Source organism: Homo sapiens, chromosome 19 (assembly GCF_000001405.40).
Source record: "Homo sapiens chromosome 19, GRCh38.p14 Primary Assembly".
Taxonomy (NCBI): Eukaryota; Metazoa; Chordata; class Mammalia; order Primates; family Hominidae; genus Homo; species Homo sapiens.
Window position 1 is genome coordinate 21,112,959 of NC_000019.10, and position 17,635 is coordinate 21,130,593.

Here is a 17,635-nt window from a genome sequence, read left to right on the forward strand (position 1 = left end):
ATTACCAGCACCCACCACCATGCTGGGCTAATATTATGTATCTTTAGTAGACATGGTGTGTTTCACCATGTTTGCCAGGCTTGTCTCGAACTCCTGACCTCAGGTGATCTGCCTACCTCGGCCTCCCAAAGTGCTGGGATTACAGGTGTGAGCCACCATGCCCAGCCAAAGCCTACAGCACCCGGTATTCCCAGGTGGTCTCCCCTCCAAGTCCCAGCAAGGCCCGACCCTGCTTAGCTTCCGAGATTGGGCACGGTCAGAAGGGTGTGGCTGTGGATGCCAGCCTCTGATTTAATTTTATTATTTAGCCAGAAGTCATTCAGTAGCAGGTTGCTCAATTTCCATGTAGTTGTGTGGTTTTGAGTGAGTTTCTTACTCGTGAGTTTTTTTGTTTTGTTTTTGTTTGTTTGTTTGTTTGTTTGTTTGAGACAGAGTGTTACACTGTCACCCAGGCTGGGGTGCAGTGGCATGTTATGATTTCAGTTCTTTTGCATTTGCTGAGAAGTGTTTTACTTCCAATTATGTTACAATTTTTTTTCTTTTCTTTTTTCTTCTTTTTTTTTTTTGAGACCGAGTCTCGCTCTGTCACCCAGGCTGGAGTGCAATGGCACAATCTTGGCTCACTGTAACCTCCACCTCCCAGGTTCAAGCGATTCTCCTGTCTCAGCCTCCTGAGTAGCTGGGATTACAGGCACATACTGCCACGCCTGGCTAATTTTTTTTGTATTTTTAGTACAGACGGGGTTTCTCTGTGTTCCCCAGGCTGGATTTGAACTCTTGAGTTCAGGCAATCCACCCACCTTGGCCTCCCAAAGTGCTAGGGTTACAAGCGTGAGCCACCATGCCCAGCCATATGATCAATTTTAGAGTAAGTGCCATGTGGAACTTAGAAGAATGTGTATTGTGTTGTTTGTGGCTGGAGAGTTCTGTAGATATCTGTCAGGTCCACTTGACCCACAGCTGAGTTCAAGCCTTGTTACTTTTCTGTCTCAATGATCTGTCTAATATTAACAGTGGGGTGTTAAAGACTCTCACTATTATTATGTGGAAGTCTAAGTCTCTTTATAGTTCTCTAAGAATGTGTTTTATGAATCTGGGTGCTCCTTGAATTGATCTCTTTACCATTATGTAACGTACTTCTTTGTCTTTTTTGATCTTTGTTGGTTTAAAGTTTGTTTTGTCAGAAACTGTGATTGCAGGCTGGGCTCGGTGGCTCACGCCTGTAATCCCAGCACTTTGGGAGGCCAAGGTGGACAGATCACAAGGTCAGGAGATCGAGACCATCCTAGCTAACACAGTGAAACCTCGTCTACTAAAAATACAAAAAATTAGCCAGGTGTGGTGGCGGGTGCCTGTAGTCCCAGCTACTTGGGAGGCTGAGGCGGGAGAATGACATGAACCCAGGAGATGGAGCTTGCAGTGAGCTGAGATCGCACCACTGCACTCGAACCTAGGTGACAGAGCGAGACTCCATCTCAAAAAAAAAAAAAAAAGAAACTATGATTGCAACCCCTGCTTTTTTTTCTGCTTTTATTTGCTTTGTAATTTTCCTCCATTCTTTAATTTGAGCCTACATTTGTCTTTTCATGCGAAGTGGGTCTCTTGAATACAGCACACAAATGGGTCATGACTCTTTATCCAGTTTGCCCTTCTATGTCTTTCAATTGAGGCATTCAGCCTATTACATTTAAGGCTAATATTGTTATGTTTGATTTTGATTCTATCCAAGTGGTGCTAGCTGCTTATTTTGCAGAGTCGTTGATGTAGTTGTTTTATAGCATCATTCATCTTTGTACTTCACTTTGTTTTTGCAGTGGCTGGTAATGGTTTTTTTCTTCCCATATTTAGTGCTTCCTTAATAGCTCTATCTAGCAAGGCAGGCCTGGTGGTCATGTATTCCTTCAGCATTTGCTTCTCTGAAAAGAATTTTATTTTTCTCCAGTTACAAAGACTTAGTAGTGTTATTTTATTGTTTTATTTGATTCTTGTATCTTTGTTCCTCATTTTCTCTTTTTCTGTCTCTGTGTCTTTTTTATACTTATCTTGATATGCTTTTACTTCTTTCTTATTTTGTTTTGTGTATCTATTCAGATATATTCTTGGTGGTATATTAGGAATTACATAATACCTCTAAAAGATAAAACAGTGTATTTTAATCTGGTAAAAAATGAACTTCAGCTGGATTCATAAATTTTTTCTCATTATATCTGCCCTCAAATTTGTCATTGATGTTGCTAATCATATATTTTATGTTGTATATCATTAACAAATGTTTATAATGATTTCTATTCTTTTACCTTTCAAATTTTAGAGAATAATTAAAAATGTTTTTTGTGCCATTATTATAATGCTAAGAAATTCCATTTTTGTGTATGTGCATGTTTCCCTAGAAAATAATGTATTTATATGATAAAATTATTATTTATAAAATTACTTTATTTAATCGTATTATTTTCAGTAGAAGCAACTGCTTTCAGCATCTTTTATGTTTAGGGCATATGAAGTGCCAATATTTTTTTTCAGAATTTGGTTATTTTTGAAGGTTTTTTTCTTTTTATTGGGCAGGACTGGTATTATTCTCACTTGATAGCTATTTTTTTTTAGGACTTTGGCTATATCACAGTTTCCTTCTGGCCTGCAAAGCTTTTGTTGACAGTTCACTGACTATCTTATAAGACTGTGCTTGTAAATGACATGCCATTTTTATCTTGCAGCTCCATTCTCTTCTTGTCTGTGGTTTTTGAAATTGTGCTTATATATGTGTTTGTTATAAATATCTTTGTGTGTATCCTAATTGTTTGTTGAGCTTCTTCATTTTGACAATATTTTTTCTTTCAGAATTTTTGAGTTATATTTTCTTTTGATATTTTTTACCTTTACAATTTCTGTTTTTTGGATATTTTAAATATTTTTTTCTTATCAGTTTTTTCTGGTTTTCTATAGTTCTCTGTATTCCTATTTTACTCATTGAGTATTCAATTTATTTTTAATTTTTAAAATTAATATATACATCTTTTTTATGGTTTCTTTCTGAAAATTTTATAATATTTTTGATAGAACCATTTTGCCCTATTTTGTATTCATTGTAATCTTTGATTAAAATTTAGACATTAAATAAAGCTACCTGACACAGTTTTTATCTTGTAGCTTTCTCCTGGCATAGTCTGAAAACAATTATCTTGGTTAGAGATCCTGGTAGACTCTCAAACATGTTCTTAGAATGTATCTTGTCTAAAATTTTGTGTTTACTTTTTAGTTAAAGGAGTTTATTTCTGCTTCATCTTAATCAGTAACCATTTGCTCTGTTTTCTGTCTGTTGTACTGCAGTCTCTCTGCTGCTGTAACAATTACCTTTGGTCTCAAGACCCAAACTATAACTCCAAAATATACCACCATTTTTTTCAGCACTTTATGTTACGGGAGACCAGTTTCTGGAAAGGCCCCTAGAAGCAAGTAATATAGATGTATGTGCCAGTATTTTACTTGTTTATTAAAAAAGAAACCAAAAGTTAGCAATTTACTTTGAAAGGCAGTATGTTATATTGTTGAGTAGGAAGAACTGTGTTGGGCAAAGGTAATGGACTTTTCTTTTTCTTCTGTGTCTTTGCATTCCTGTGTACTCATCTGTGTACTCACCTGGGGAACTTTACATGCTTATTTATAAGTTTTCCTTATGTATTTTGGTCAGTATGCTTTTATTACATTTATATGTCTATGAAGGATTTAGGGCCTGTGGTATTTTATTATGGCATCTTGCTTATGTAGTTTGTATAATATAGGTTAGATTTGTAAAGTATGTTTATCAGAGTCTAGTAAGTTGAATAATTTGTTGTTTGTATTTCTTTCAGCTATGTGTTCTTCTTTTACCAGAGACCTTTGGCCAGAGCAAGACATAAAAGATTCTTTTCAACAAGTGATACTGAGAAGACATGGCAAATGTGAACATGAGAATTTACAGTTAAGAAAAGGCTCCGCAAATGTGGTTGAGTGTAAGGTGTACAAAAAAGGTTATAATGAACTAAACCAGTGTTTGACAACTACCCAGAGCAAAATATTTCCATGTGATAAATATATAAAAGTCTTTCATAAAATTTTCAATTCAAATAGACACAAGACAAGACATACTGGAGAGAAACCTTTCAAATGTAAAAAATGTGATGAATCATTTTGCATGCTTTTACACCTACATCAACATAAAAGAATTCATATTAGAGAGAATTCTTACCAATGTGAAGAATGTGACAAAGTGTTTAAGCGGTTCTCAACCCTTACTAGACACAAGAGAGTTCATACTGGAGAGAAACCCTTCAAATGTGAAGAATGTGGCAAAGCTTTTAAGCACTCCTCAACCCTTACTACACATAAGATGATTCATACTGGAGAGAAACCCTACAGATGTGAAGAATGTGGCAAAGCCTTCTACCATTCTTCACACCTTACTACACATAAGGTAATTCATACTGGAGAGAAGCCCTTCAAATGTGAAGAATGTGGTAAAGCTTTTAACCACCCTTCAGCCCTTACTACACATAAGTTCATTCATGTTAAAGAAAAACCCTACAAATGTGAAGAATGTGACAAAGCTTTTAACCGATTCTCATACCTTACTAAACATAAGATAATTCATTCTGGAGAGAAATCTTACAAATGTGAACAATGTGGCAAAGGCTTTAACTGGTCTTCAACCCTTACAAAACATAAAAGAATTCATACTGGAGAGAAACCCTACAAATGTGAAGAATGTGGCAAAGCCTTTAATGTGTCTTCACACCTTACTACACATAAGATGATTCATACTGGAGAGAAACCCTACAAATGTGAAGAATGTGGCAAAGCCTTTAACCACTCCTCAAAACTTACTATACATAAGATAATTCATACTGGAGAGAAACCTTACAAATGTGAAGAATGTGGCAAAGCTTTTAACCAATCCTCAAACCTTACCAAACATAAGATAATTCATACTGGAGAGAAACTCTACAAATGTGAAGAATGTGGCAAAGCTTTTAACCGATCCTCAAACCTTACTACACATAAGAGAATTCACACTGGAGAGAAACCCTACAAATGTGAAGAATGTGGCAAAGCTTTCAACCGATCCTCAAACCTTACTAAACATAACATAATTCATACTGGAGAGAAATCTTACAAATGTGAAGAATGTGGTAAAGCCTTTAACCAATCCTCAACTCTTACTAAACATAGGAAAATTCAGCAGGGCATGGTGGCTCATGCCTGTAATCCCAACACTTTGAGAGGACTAGGTGAGCAGATCGCGAGGTCAGGAGTTCAAGACCAGCCTGGCCAACATGGTAAAACCCCATCTCTACTAAAAATACAAAAATTTGCTGGGTGTGGTGGCAGGCGCCTGTAATCCCAGCTACTTGGGAGGCAGAGGCAGGAGAATCATTTGAACCTGGGAGGCAGAGGTTGCAGTGAGCCAAGATCGCGCCATTCTACTCCAGCCTGGGCCACAAGGCAAGACTCTGTCTCAAAAAAAAAAAAAAAAAGAAAAGAAAATTCATACTGGAACGAAACCCTACAATTGTGAAGAATGTGCCAGTGCTTTCAACCAGTCCTCGAACCTTTTTAAGAAAATAATTTATACTGGAGAGAAATTCTACAAATGTGAAGAATATGGCAAAGCCTTTAACCAGTCTTCAACTCTTACTAGGCATTAAAAATTCATACTGTACAGAAACCCTACGAGGGTGAAAAACATGGCAAAGCCTTTAACAAGCCCTCAATTCTTAACAGACATAACATAATTCATACTGGAAAGAAACTCTGCAAACCAGAAAGATCTGGCAATGCTTTTGACAACACCTCAAACTTTTCTAACCATAAAAGAAATTATACTGGTGAGAAATCTTAGAAATCTGAAGAATGAGACAAAGCCTTTAAATGGTTGTCACACTTGATTGTAGGTAAGATAATTCATACTGGAGAAAACACCTACATGTGTGAACAATGTGGCAAAACTTAACCAGTGCTCACACCTTATTGCACAGGAAAGCATTTGTACTTGAGATAAATTATACAAATATAAAGACTGAAAAAGCCATTAATATATGTTCATATCTCAACACCAGATAGTTCATACTTAATAAAAGCATTATAAGTACAATTACTGTCAAAAGACCTTTCAGAAAATACAAGCTTTTGACCAGGCGTGGTGGCTCAGGCCTATAATCCCAGCACTTTGGTAGGCCAAGGCAGGTGGATCATGAGGTCAGGAGTTTGAGACCAGCCTATCCAAGATGGTGAAACCCCATCTCTACTAAAAATACAACAATTAGCCGGTTGCGGTGGTGGTGCCTGTAATCCCAGCTACTCAAGAGGCTGAGGCAGGAGAATCACTTGAACTTGGGGAGGGAGAGGTTGCAGTGAGCTGAGATTGCACTCTAGCCTGGGCCACAGAGCAAGACTCCATCTAAAAAGTAAAAAAAAAAGAAAATATGAACTTTACAGTGAAGAATATTTATTTTGAAGATGAATGTTACAAATATAAAGTGGGTAGTAGTGCCTTTACTTGTATCACAGATCTTATTGTAGACATTTTTTGTAGAGGAAAAACTCTGAAGCACTTTCACACTTTGTTCAATATCAGGGAATTTATATTGAAGAAAAATCATGCAAATGTAGTAAATTTGGAAAAACACTTTTTCAAAAACTACAGCTTAGAAAACAGAGTTCATACTAGAATATATTTTTGCAGATGCAGTAAAAGTTAAAAAAAATTTAATCCATAAGTAAGTCTGTGTAAATATCAGAATTTATGGTAGAAATACATAAGGCACTGACAACATCAGATATACTAAATCAGAGGGCTGAGTATAGAAAATTAAAGTTGGTAGAAAAATTATTTGTATATAACTTTAAGAGGATCAGAAGGTTTTTTGCAGTTATAATTACATTCAAAGTATACTTTATTTCTTGAAAAATATTACAGATTTTTTGAAAAGTGAATAATGATGTCATTCAACTCTGAAATTCCTGCCGTTTCTTCATTCCTATTGGATTCACATGTGAAAGCATGGGATCAATTATTGCTGTATCAAAGATATGAAAGATTCTTTCTTTGTTTTGTTCTGTTTTTTTGAGATGGAGTTTTGCTCTTTCGTCCAGGCTGGAGCACAGTGGCATGATCTCGGCTCACTGCAACCTTCAATTTCCAGTTTCAAGCGATTCTCCTCCCTCAGCCTCCTGAGTAGCTGGGATTACAGGCGCATATCACCACGCCCAGCTAATTTTTATGTTTCTAGTACAGACAGGATTTCATCATGTTGGCCAGGCTGGTCTCAAACTCCTCACCTTGTGATCCACCCACCTTGGCCTCCAAAGGTGCTGGGATTACACAGGCATGAGCCACTGCTCCTGGCAAGAGATTCTTTTTTATTAGGTGGGCATTATTTGTGATCTTTTCTATTGAAAAGTAAAAACATTAGAATGTAAGATGCATAATGAAAATGTAAGTGGAGAGGTTCTTTGGGGTTAACTTATAATATTGAGTGGTGCATGAGGTTGGTGTTCAGAGTAATATTCTGCATTATGAAAAAACATTTAATTTTATTTAAAATTTAGTTTATCATACTAATTGTACTTTTATATAAGATGCAGTACATTTTTAAAATTTTAGATTGTGTGAAGTTAATAGTTTAACATTTTTAACATGTTAAATACTATTGTGCATTCAATGAAGCATTATTATACCACAAACTTTACCCTGTTCCACCTTACTGAAGGGTATAGGTAAAAGATGGTAACGATATACTATTTAGTAACATAATGGATTAACATCTCTAGTAATTTTTTTTGCCAGTGGCTTTAAACCGCAAATAAGTTAAAGAATATTGTTTCTGTAGGTTAAATTTTTATTTTGTTTTTAATCATTTAAATTTAATTTTGGTGGGTACATAATATGAGTATATATTTATGCACTTATATGGCATATTTTAGTACAGGAATACAATATATAATAGTAGCATCAGGGTTAAGTGAGGCATCCTTCACCCATAGCATTTCTCCTTTGTTTTACAAACAATCCAAACCTACACTTTTTAAAAATTTTTTGTTGTTGTTGTTCTTGTTGTTGTTGAGACGGAGTCTCGCTCTGTCGCCCAGGCTGGAGTGTGCAATCTCGGCTCACTGCAAGCTCCACTTCCCGGGTTCACGCCATTTTCCTGCCTCAGCCTCCCAAGCAGCTAGGACTACAGGCGCCCACCACCATGCCCGGCTAATTTTTTGTATTTTTAGTAGAGATGGGGTTTCACCATGTTAGCCAGGATGGTCTCAATCTCCTGACCTCGTGATCTGGTCTCGATCTCCTGACCTCATGATCTGCCTGCCTTGACCTCCCAAAGTGCTGGGATTACAGGCATGAGCCACCGTGCCCGGCCACTTTTTATAAATTTTAAAATGTACAATTGTTATTTACTATAGAGTTATTTTTATGGTCATAATACAAATTATATATGAGTATAAATAAAATTCATTTCTAAACTATTAATATTTTTTCCAAATTGTTATATATTTTTCTTTGAACATGTGGCCTGTCTGCCTGCAAACATGCAGACTTTTTGATTCACATAGAGTTAAATATGTATTAGTCTAAAGACAAACTTTAGGTGTAAGAAAATTATGGAATAAGTGTGTGTGTGTGAGTATGAGTTTGTACCTATTTTCAGAAAAGAACAATATGGGAATAAAAATCATTTTAATAAGGTGGCTACTATAAAACTAAAAACCTTAAAAAATGCTGAAAGCAAATGTATACTTTGTGCTTTGTATTGAATTTATTACTGTACAATCCATGACTTACAGTTCTGAACCTTTTCATGCAAATTCTCTGTATATACTTGCCTGGTACTCATGCTAGACCCATACTTTTTTTGTTTCTTACATTTTTTTTGTTTTATGGTTTAGGAAGTATTCATTATATGAGCTGGTCTGTGATTATAAGAATTTTTATGAAATTTAGTGCACACAAAATAATTTTTAGATGTAATTCCAAAAGTAGTGTATTAAGTTACATTTTATTTAGTGAGAGCACTCCATTTTGTTCTTTTAAGGGGAGAACAATATATAAGTTTTCTTTTCTTTAGTGATTGTTCCTTTCACTTTTTATAATTGACATAAGTATATTTATTTATTGAGTCAATTTGTTCAGGTAAGTACTGGGGGGCTTCATAAGTCATGAGGATGTTTTTATATATAAATGTAGCAAACATACATTACAGTTCTTACTGTGTAATCGATGCTCCATAATAATTCACAAATATTCCTGCTGGAGTTAGTTTGTAATTTCAAGTCAGAAATGAAAGATATCAGTGGTGAAGAAATAAGATTGATTCTTCATATGGAGTGGACATTTTTTCCAGACTATAAAACTGAATCTTGCTGAATTTAAAGAGAAATTCTGGCCGAGGCAGATGGATCACCTGAGGTTAGGAGTTTCAGACCAGCCTGGTGAAACCCGGTCTCTACTAATAAACTACAAAAATTAGCTGATTGTGGTGGCATCCACCTGTAGCCCAGCTACTCAGGAGGCTGAGGCAGAAGAATTGCTTGAACCCAGGAGGCGAAGATTGTGGTGAGCCGAGATTGTGCCATTGCACTACAGCCTGGGTGACAGAATGAGACTCATAAAAAAAAAAATAAATTCTGCTTCTTTTATTTTCTACTTCTCTTCAGATTTGTTTCTCGTATGTATTTTCCAACTATGTATGCATCACAGCCCTTCTTTTTCTGAGTTATAGCTACAGTTTTCTGACTGTTCTCTTCACGCCATTTCATTTCGCCTGGTATTTTGTAGATTTTGATGACAAAATTCTATTTTTAGTGCACTTAAAAATGGATTTTAACTGGTGAGTTCGCTTATCAATATAACATTCAGATTAGTTAATTAAGATAAAAGCCAGGTGTGGTGGCTCACGCCTCTAATCCCAGCACTTTGAGAGGCCGAGGCAAGTGGATCACTTGAGCTCAGGAGTTCGAGACCAGCCTGACCAACATGGTGAAACCCCGTGTCTACTACAAATACAAAATTAGCCACATGTTGTGGCGCATGCCTGTAATCCCAGCTACTCGGGAGGCTGATGCAGGAGAATCGCTTGAACCCAGGAGGCAGAGGTTGCAGTGAGCCGAAATTGCGCCATTGCACTCCAGCCTGGACAAGAGCAAAACTCTGTCTCAAAAAAAAAAAAAAAAAAAGATTAAAGGCGCACACTGTCCACAGGCAAGAGGATTAAATTAGCATTGCATTTCTTTGTTTTTAAAAGAAAAATCTTATTAGATTCTTATACAAAGTGTGGCAAATATAAAACTTGCTTGAAAATATGGAAATTAAATTTTTAAGAGAGTTAATAGTAAACGAATTTAATTTTCTTTTTTTATTTTTACTTTTTATTTTTTAGAGACAGAGTCTTGCTCTGTCTCCCAGGCTAGAGTACAGTGGTGTGATCTTGGCTCACTGCAAGCTCCGCCTTCCGGGTTCACGCCATTCTCCCGCCTCAGCCTCCCGAGTAGCTGGGACTACAGGCGCCCGCTACCGCACCCGTCTAATTTTTTTGTATTTTTAGTAGAGACGGGATTTCACCATGTTAGCCAGGATGGTCTCAATCTCCTGACCTCGTGATCCGCCCGCCTCGACCTCCCAAAGTGGTGGGATTACAGGCATGAGCCACAGTGCCCGGCCACGAATTTAATTTTCTATGATATAATTACAGCACAATTTACATTTCCGTGCAGAATCTTTTAAGTGTGGTGGTAAAGATTGCAAAATAATAAAATGACCTCTGAATTTAAAATTTAGAAAAATATGTCTTTTCTATATTGATTTTACAATTTGGAGAAATTTCTCTTATTTTTTATATTTTTTCTTTTAGTGGGAGAAGTTTAGTCTACGGTTTTTATTTTTAGTCACCAAGCTGTAGCCAACTCCTGGGTCATTTTCTCTGAAAAACATTTGGAGATCATGACAAGTTTTGGATTAAAACATTCTGTTATTTTGCATGCAAACTAGTTTACTGTGTTCACAGACTGGCCAGTCATGGGACCATAAGCAACACCTGCCCCTTTAGTGGCTTTCATACCATTACCACCAGTACCAGAAACTCCAGGTGGCCCAAGCTTAAAGTAAAAATCCTAAAGTACATTGGCTTCTCCCATGCAATGTGCTGGGTCCAAACCATGCTGTTAAATATCAGAGTTCCTATGGTTATGACTGACAAATGACAATAATAGCCCCAAAATACATATTTTTGATACTATTTAGCCAAGATTACCACAAAGATACAGTATTTGACACATTCTTATTCTATAACATTTTGAAAATATTTTCTCTTGACAGATAAAAATGTGTACTTTTTCTGTAGAACATAATATTTTGAACATGCTGTTAAATATCAGAGTTCCTATGATTATGACTAAAAAATTAAATGACAATAGTCCCCAAACTATGTATTTTCATACTATTTAGCCAAAGTAATCACAAAGACACAGTATTTGACACATTGTTATTCTTTTATGTCTTAAAAATATTTTCTTTCAACTTGAGAAAATGTGTGCTTTTTCTGTAGAACATATTTTGAAGTATATATACATTGTTATTATTTCTAGGTAATTAATACCTCACATAGTTAACATTTTTGTGGTGAGACCACGTCTTATCATTTTTCAAAAATCCAAATACATTATTATGAACTATAGTCACCATGTTGTACAATAAATCTCTTGAACTTATTTCTCCTATTTGACTATAATTACTTATTATTTGACAGACTTTCCAAACCCCCATTTCTTCTAAATACCTTGGCATCTGATGGTCACCATTTTACTCTATACATCAATGGGATTAAGATTTTTGGAATCCATGTATAGGTGAAATCATGAAATATTAATCTTTCTGTGCCTGGCCTATCCCAACTAATATAATGTCCTCCAGCTTAATCTATGTAATTTAAAATAATATAATTTTTTTCTTTTTTTTTTTTTTTTTTAAGGCCAGGTGTGGTGTCTTACACCTGTAATCCCAGCACTGTGGGAAGCCAGGGCAGGTGGATTGCTTGAGCCCAGGAGTTTGAGACCAGCCTGGTCAACATGGAAAATCCCCGTCTCTACAAAAAAAAAAAAAAAATCTCAGCTGGGCATGGGCATGGTAGTGCATGCCTGTAATCCCAGCTACTCCAGAGGCTGAGGCATGAGAATCCCTTGAGCCAGGGATGCAGAGGTTGCAGTGAACTGAGATTGTGCCACTGCATCCAGCCTGGGTAACAGAGTGAGACTCCGTCTCAAGAGAAAAGGAATTTTCTTATTTTAAAAATAATATTCTGTTGTGTATATCTACCACATTGTCTTCATTTACTCATTAGATGTTAAACTGTTTATTCTGTATTTTGGCTATTGTGAAAAGTGCTACAAACAGAATTGCAAATGTTTCTTCATTCTGATTTTATTTGTTTTGGATATATATCCAGTAGTGCAATTGCTGTTATGACATGGTAGTTTAAGTTTTTTGAGAAATCTCTATTTTGTTTTTCATAATGGCTGTCTTCATTTACATTCCAAACCAACAGTGTGCAAGCCTTCCCTTTTCTTCACATCTTTACCAACGCTTTTTCTTTTTAATAAGAGTCATTCTAACAGGAACGAGTTGATATCTCCTAGTTTTGTTTTTTCTTTTTTGGCTTGCCTTTTTGTGATAATTGACATTGAGCATTTTTAAATATATCAGTTGGCCATTATGTATGTATTTTCTTGAAAAATACTTATTTCAGCTACTTATTTTTAATAGTTACTTATTTTTGTTGTATTGTCATTTGAGTTTTGTATATATTTTTGATATTAACCCCTTGTCACATGTATAATTTGCAAATATTTTCTCCCTTTTTTTAGTTGTCACATTCTGTTCATTGTATCAGATTCTGTGCAGCAGCTTTTTAATTTGAAGTGATCTGACTGACTTGTTCTTCCTTTTGTGTCCTGGGATATTTAGGTTAAATCAAAAAACTTGCTGCCCAGACCAATGTTATGGGGCTTTCACTCTATTTTTTGGTAGTAGTAGTTTAAGAGTTTTAGGCCTTACATTTAAGTGGCTAATTTATTTTGAGTTTATTTTTACATATGGTGTGAGATGAGGGTCTCACTTTTTTTTCTCTGCATGTGGACATAAAGTTTTCTAAACATCATTTATTGAAGATACTGTTATTTCCCTTAAAAAAAAAAGTCACCTGTATTTAAAATCAGTTAGCTGTAAATACACTGATATATTTCTGCTCTCTTTTTCTTCTGCTCCATTGGCCTATATCTCTGTTTTTATTCAAGTGACATACTGTTTTGGTTACCACAGTTTTGTAGTGTATTTCAAAGTCAGGGTGATACCTTCTTTTGTCTTGATTGCTTTGGCTATTTAGGGTGTTTTGTGGTAACATATGAATTTTAGATATGCTTTTTAAAAATGTCTATGAAGTATGTCACTGGTATTTTGATAGAGGTTGCATTATATCTGCAGATCATTTTGTGTAATACAAATATTTAACTATTAAAAATGCCAGTTCATGAATGAGTAATATTATTCCATTTATGTGTTACTTAATTTGTATAATGTTCTTTAGAGTAGAATGTAAGGTGTTTCAACTTTTTGGTTAAATTTACTTCAAACTATAGTTAGGTAGATGGAATTTTTTTGAATTTCATTTTGAGATAGTTACTAATGTATAGAAATGCTATGACTTTTTGATGATGTTTTTGTATTTTGAAAGTTTAATAAATTTTGTTTGTTTATTTTTTGTTGTTGTTGTTGTTTCAAATGGAGTCTCAGTCTATCGCCCAGGCTGGAATACAGTGGTGCATTTTACTTTGCAAGCTTTTACACCATCTCACTGGAGTCAGTTTGTTGTTGTTTTTGTTGCTTGTCTTTTGGGATACTGTAGCAGGATTGATAAGAAATCAGAGAGACTGATGGGGTTGAGGAGGATATTTATTATTTAGGTGCACTGGCCTAGTCGGATTAACATCCAAAGGACTGAGCCCTGAACAAAGAGTTAAGTTACCCTTTAAGCATTTTGTGGGATGGCAGGGGGAGATCTGTGCAGGGAGAAGCATATTACAGAAGCGAGAAACAAAGACAGTTATTCAATTAATTGTGACATGCATTACATAATTTTTTACTTTCCAAGGAAAAACATGTTTTACAACTTGAGTTTATCTATCTAGTGACCTTGCAGCTGCACAGCTAGAGAAACAGGGTCTTCAAAATGCCTGGGAAAGGAGGAGAGATAAGCCTTGCTAGCCACAGAAAAACAGGCCGTTAATTTTTAAAGGACTCCAGCTCTTTCTCTTTCTCAGGAGGAATTGGGTTTTCTTACATACAACTGAGTTTCTGCTTACACATTCTTTAATTTCTTTTAATTTCTGTTCCAATACTATTTTTTTGGTCACAAATTTTTCACTTTTTTTTTTTCTTTCTTTGAAACGGATCTCACTCTGTTGCCCAGGCTGGAGTGCAGTGGCGTGATCTTGGCTCACTGCAAGCTCTGCCTCCCAGATTCACACCATTCTCCTGCCTCAGCCTCCTGAGTAGCTGGGACTGCAGGTGCCCACCACCACACCTGGCTAATTTTTTGTATTTTTAGTAGAGACTGGGTTTCACTGTGTTAGCCAGGATGGTCTCAATCTCCTGACCTCGTGCTCTGCCTGCCTTGGCCTCCCGAAGTGCTGGGATTACAGGCATGAGCCACCGCATCTGGCCCAATTTTTTTACTCTTTTTCTTTTACTATATTTATTTCACTATTCTTCTGCCCCCTTACATAATTTCTATCCAGGGGGTAGAAATTATGTCTGTGTTTTCCCCTCATTATCAGCATCTGATTGGCTGACCAGCAATTTGTCTCCAAGAAATGAAAGCTGGGTTAGGTGAAGGCAATTTTAACAGCTTTTCAAAGTTAGAGTACACCAGAAGATTCCTCTTAGCCCCAGGGTATCCACTTGCTCCCTAGAAAGGATACACTCCATACTTCAGGTCATCCTAAGGGAGAAAATAAACCAGAAGCTGATATCCACCGGACATTCAAGCTGACATAAGCATGGCAGATATCTCGGTTTATCCCCAGATAGTACTAAGCCCAGGACCAGCAAAAAACTAAAGGGTGGCTGAGGACACATCACCCCATAAATTTTCCAAAGCAGAACTTTGACCCAAAAACATTCTGATAAGATCTCTGTGCCTAGAGAAGATAAAACGAAAAGAGACACAGAGATTTTCTACAATACAACATCGGGGGATTATTATTTGCTTTCTCCTCATGGGAAATATTTACAAACAGTTAATACAACTTCTTAAAAGCACCATTTAATGTTTTACCAAAAAATAATTAATTAAAATATGATATAAAAAAAGTACACTAAAAGACAAAGAAGTGATAATGTGAATTAGGAAGGAAAAGTTGGCATTTAGGAATGCCAGAAGAACCTGGAAATTTAGTATCTTACTGCAAGCCACAGTGAGGCTGGAGATATGGGGCATGGGAGTTTAGACTTAAAAACCCTGCTTGGGACACAGGTGAAAAATGCAGCAGAAAATCAGTTCCCCGTGCTGTGTGAAAATAATTAAGTGGCAGGCAATTAGACTGAGGTGTCTCTAGTCCCTGGGTTCATACTTTAAAAAAAACTAACTCAGGTGCATTATTTTTAATTACTACATTCAGAGAAACAAAATTCAGGCTTCACCAACTATAAACTGCCCATTAAGCTCTGATTACATAACCAGGAAATTTTCACCTTTAATCTATTGAAGTAGGAACTTAAGAAAATAACAGAATAATAGCATAAGTAATAATAGTAAAGATTATAGTAATAGAGAAATAACAATAGCTCATAGAATGAATTGCTGTATTAACCAAGGCTAACAAGAATTTAAGTAGCCCCCCTGAAGTTAGAAGAGAATATTAACTGTCTGTCCCAGGAAACATTAACCATATCTACCTTCCACATATTTTGTAGGCTCTGTAAACTCTTGTTTCTTTCTTCCTTGCACAGCTGCAAGGTCACAAGACAGATAAGCATAAGCTGCAAACTAAGTTTTCCCAGAGATGTAAGACATGTTGCAAAAGTGTCACAGCAGCCTTTGTTCTCATTTCTGTAAGCCTGCTTCCTGCTTCACACAGTGCCCACCTCAAAATGCTTAAAGGGGACTCATTTTCTTTGCTCTGGGCTCAGAGTTTCAGGACATGTGTCCGCTGTGCCAGTGTACACCTTAAATAAACACTTTCCTTCACTCCATTTCGTCTCTCCAGTTCCTTACTTTCCCACAACAGTACAAATTAAGAAACCACGTAATTGTACCTAACCAATTACTAAATTTGGTTTTCTTCATTATGCATTTTACAAAATGTCAAGCGCATCCAGGTGAAGAGACCACCAAACAGGATTTGTGTGAGCAACAAGCCTGTTTATTCACTTGGGTGCAAGTGGGCTAAGTCCAGAAAGAGAGTCAGCAAAGGGAGATAGGAGCGGGGCAGCTTTATCGGGAACAAGTCATAATGGTAGAATGTCATAAGGTGGGTTAACTAGTTAAGGCAGGAACTGGCTGTTCCACTTCTTTGTGATTTTTTGGCTGCTCCAGACTTCTTGGCTCCTGCAGGCCATCTGGACATATATGTGCAGGTCACAGGGGTTATAATGGCTGAGCTTCAGCTGAGGCCTGACATTCCTGTCTTTTTATTTTTAAAATATAAAGTTATAAGAAAAGATAAAGAAAATATAACTTTTTAGTGAGGGTCATTGGGGTAGGGGTGATATTTCTCAGGACTGCTTCAAGCATGACCAGGGACTGCGTGGACACCTTAAAGAAAATTTTATTATGAGTTAGTCCAGTAAGTTTCAGGTCTAGGGTGCATTTTTTATGTGGCTAAAGAGGTGCCAGTTAGCATATTTTTTAGCTTGGAACTGCCCTAAGAAAATAAGTTCTCTAAAAACAGTAATCAGGCATATTAGCTTTAATGTAGGTGGCGATGAGTTTTTAGACCAAGGAAGGAATAATGTTTTATGTACCAAAGCTTTTTGTCCCCATTTTCCATCATATGAATAGGATTCCCTGTTGTTAAGCCAACGACCTATTATATTACTCTTTTTCCATAGGTGTGGGTGGCAATGTGAATGGAGAAGTTCAATAGTTGTGATTGCAAATCCTATGCAGGAGAGATAATAAGTAAAATAATCTTTGTTTCCTGGATAAAGCTGAGGAAGAATAAATTTTTCATGAGCTAAGAGCCACTTGCCCTGAGTTGGAAAGACTGGTAGAGCAGGTTTTCAGAAGAGGAGTAGGTGGGGGTGATAGAGTAGAAAGAAAAATATTGGCCTTTTGGAGTGAGGGCTGGAATATTTGTGGGTGTGGAGGCATTTGCTATTTCTTTTGCTGTTCTGTCAGCATAGGCATTTCCTTTAGCAATAAGATGAGTTGGTTTCTGGTGTCCTTTACAATGAATGACCCCAGCCTTGGCTGGCAGGAGAGCAGCCTTAAGGAGAGCCTTTATTAGAGAGGCATTGATAATGTAAGAGCCTTGTGTGGTGAGGAAACCTCTTTCAGCCCACATAACAGCATGGTGGTGCAGGATATGGAAGGCATATTTAGAGCCA

The 17,635-nt window shown here is 36.5% G+C and overlaps 1 protein-coding gene and 2 pseudogenes across 4 annotated transcripts in view, besides 2 other annotated features; 2 read left to right on the forward strand and 1 right to left on the reverse strand.

The window, feature by feature from the left end:
• Positions 1-12,136, forward strand: part of ZNF714 (zinc finger protein 714) — a 42,892-nt gene extending 30,756 nt beyond the window's left edge. For 2 of the 4 annotated variants that reach the window (NR_117087.2, NR_117086.2), the window contains 2 exons: positions 3,849-5,927; positions 12,003-12,136. Coding sequence is in view for 1 of the 4 variants with exons in the window: in NM_182515.4 (NP_872321.2) it covers positions 3,849-5,374 (1,526 nt within the window). In the remaining 3 variants the exon portion in view is untranslated. Of the gene's footprint in view, positions 1-3,848 lie in introns of all 4 variants that reach the window. The other 2 variants (NR_117088.2, NM_182515.4) reach the window with 2 other exon arrangements.
• On the reverse strand, positions 170-278 carry RNA5SP469 (RNA, 5S ribosomal pseudogene 469; annotated as a pseudogene).
• On the forward strand, positions 10,859-11,574 carry VN1R81P (vomeronasal 1 receptor 81 pseudogene; annotated as a pseudogene).
• Positions 15,860-16,191: a transcriptional cis regulatory region, noted in NCBI's record as "candidate enhancer chr19.3196 targeted for multiplex CRISPR interference". NCBI's record gives its function as "positively regulates ZNF431 gene expression with high confidence in K562 cells {active_cell/tissue: K562}" and the evidence as "EXISTENCE:mutant phenotype evidence [ECO:0000015][PMID:30612741]".
• Positions 17,435-17,635: a silencer, noted in NCBI's record as "peak3406 fragment used in MPRA reporter construct". NCBI's record gives its function as "represses an SCP1 promoter by STARR-seq MPRAs in K562 erythroleukemia cells {active_cell/tissue: K562}" and the evidence as "EXISTENCE:reporter gene assay evidence [ECO:0000049][PMID:32103011]".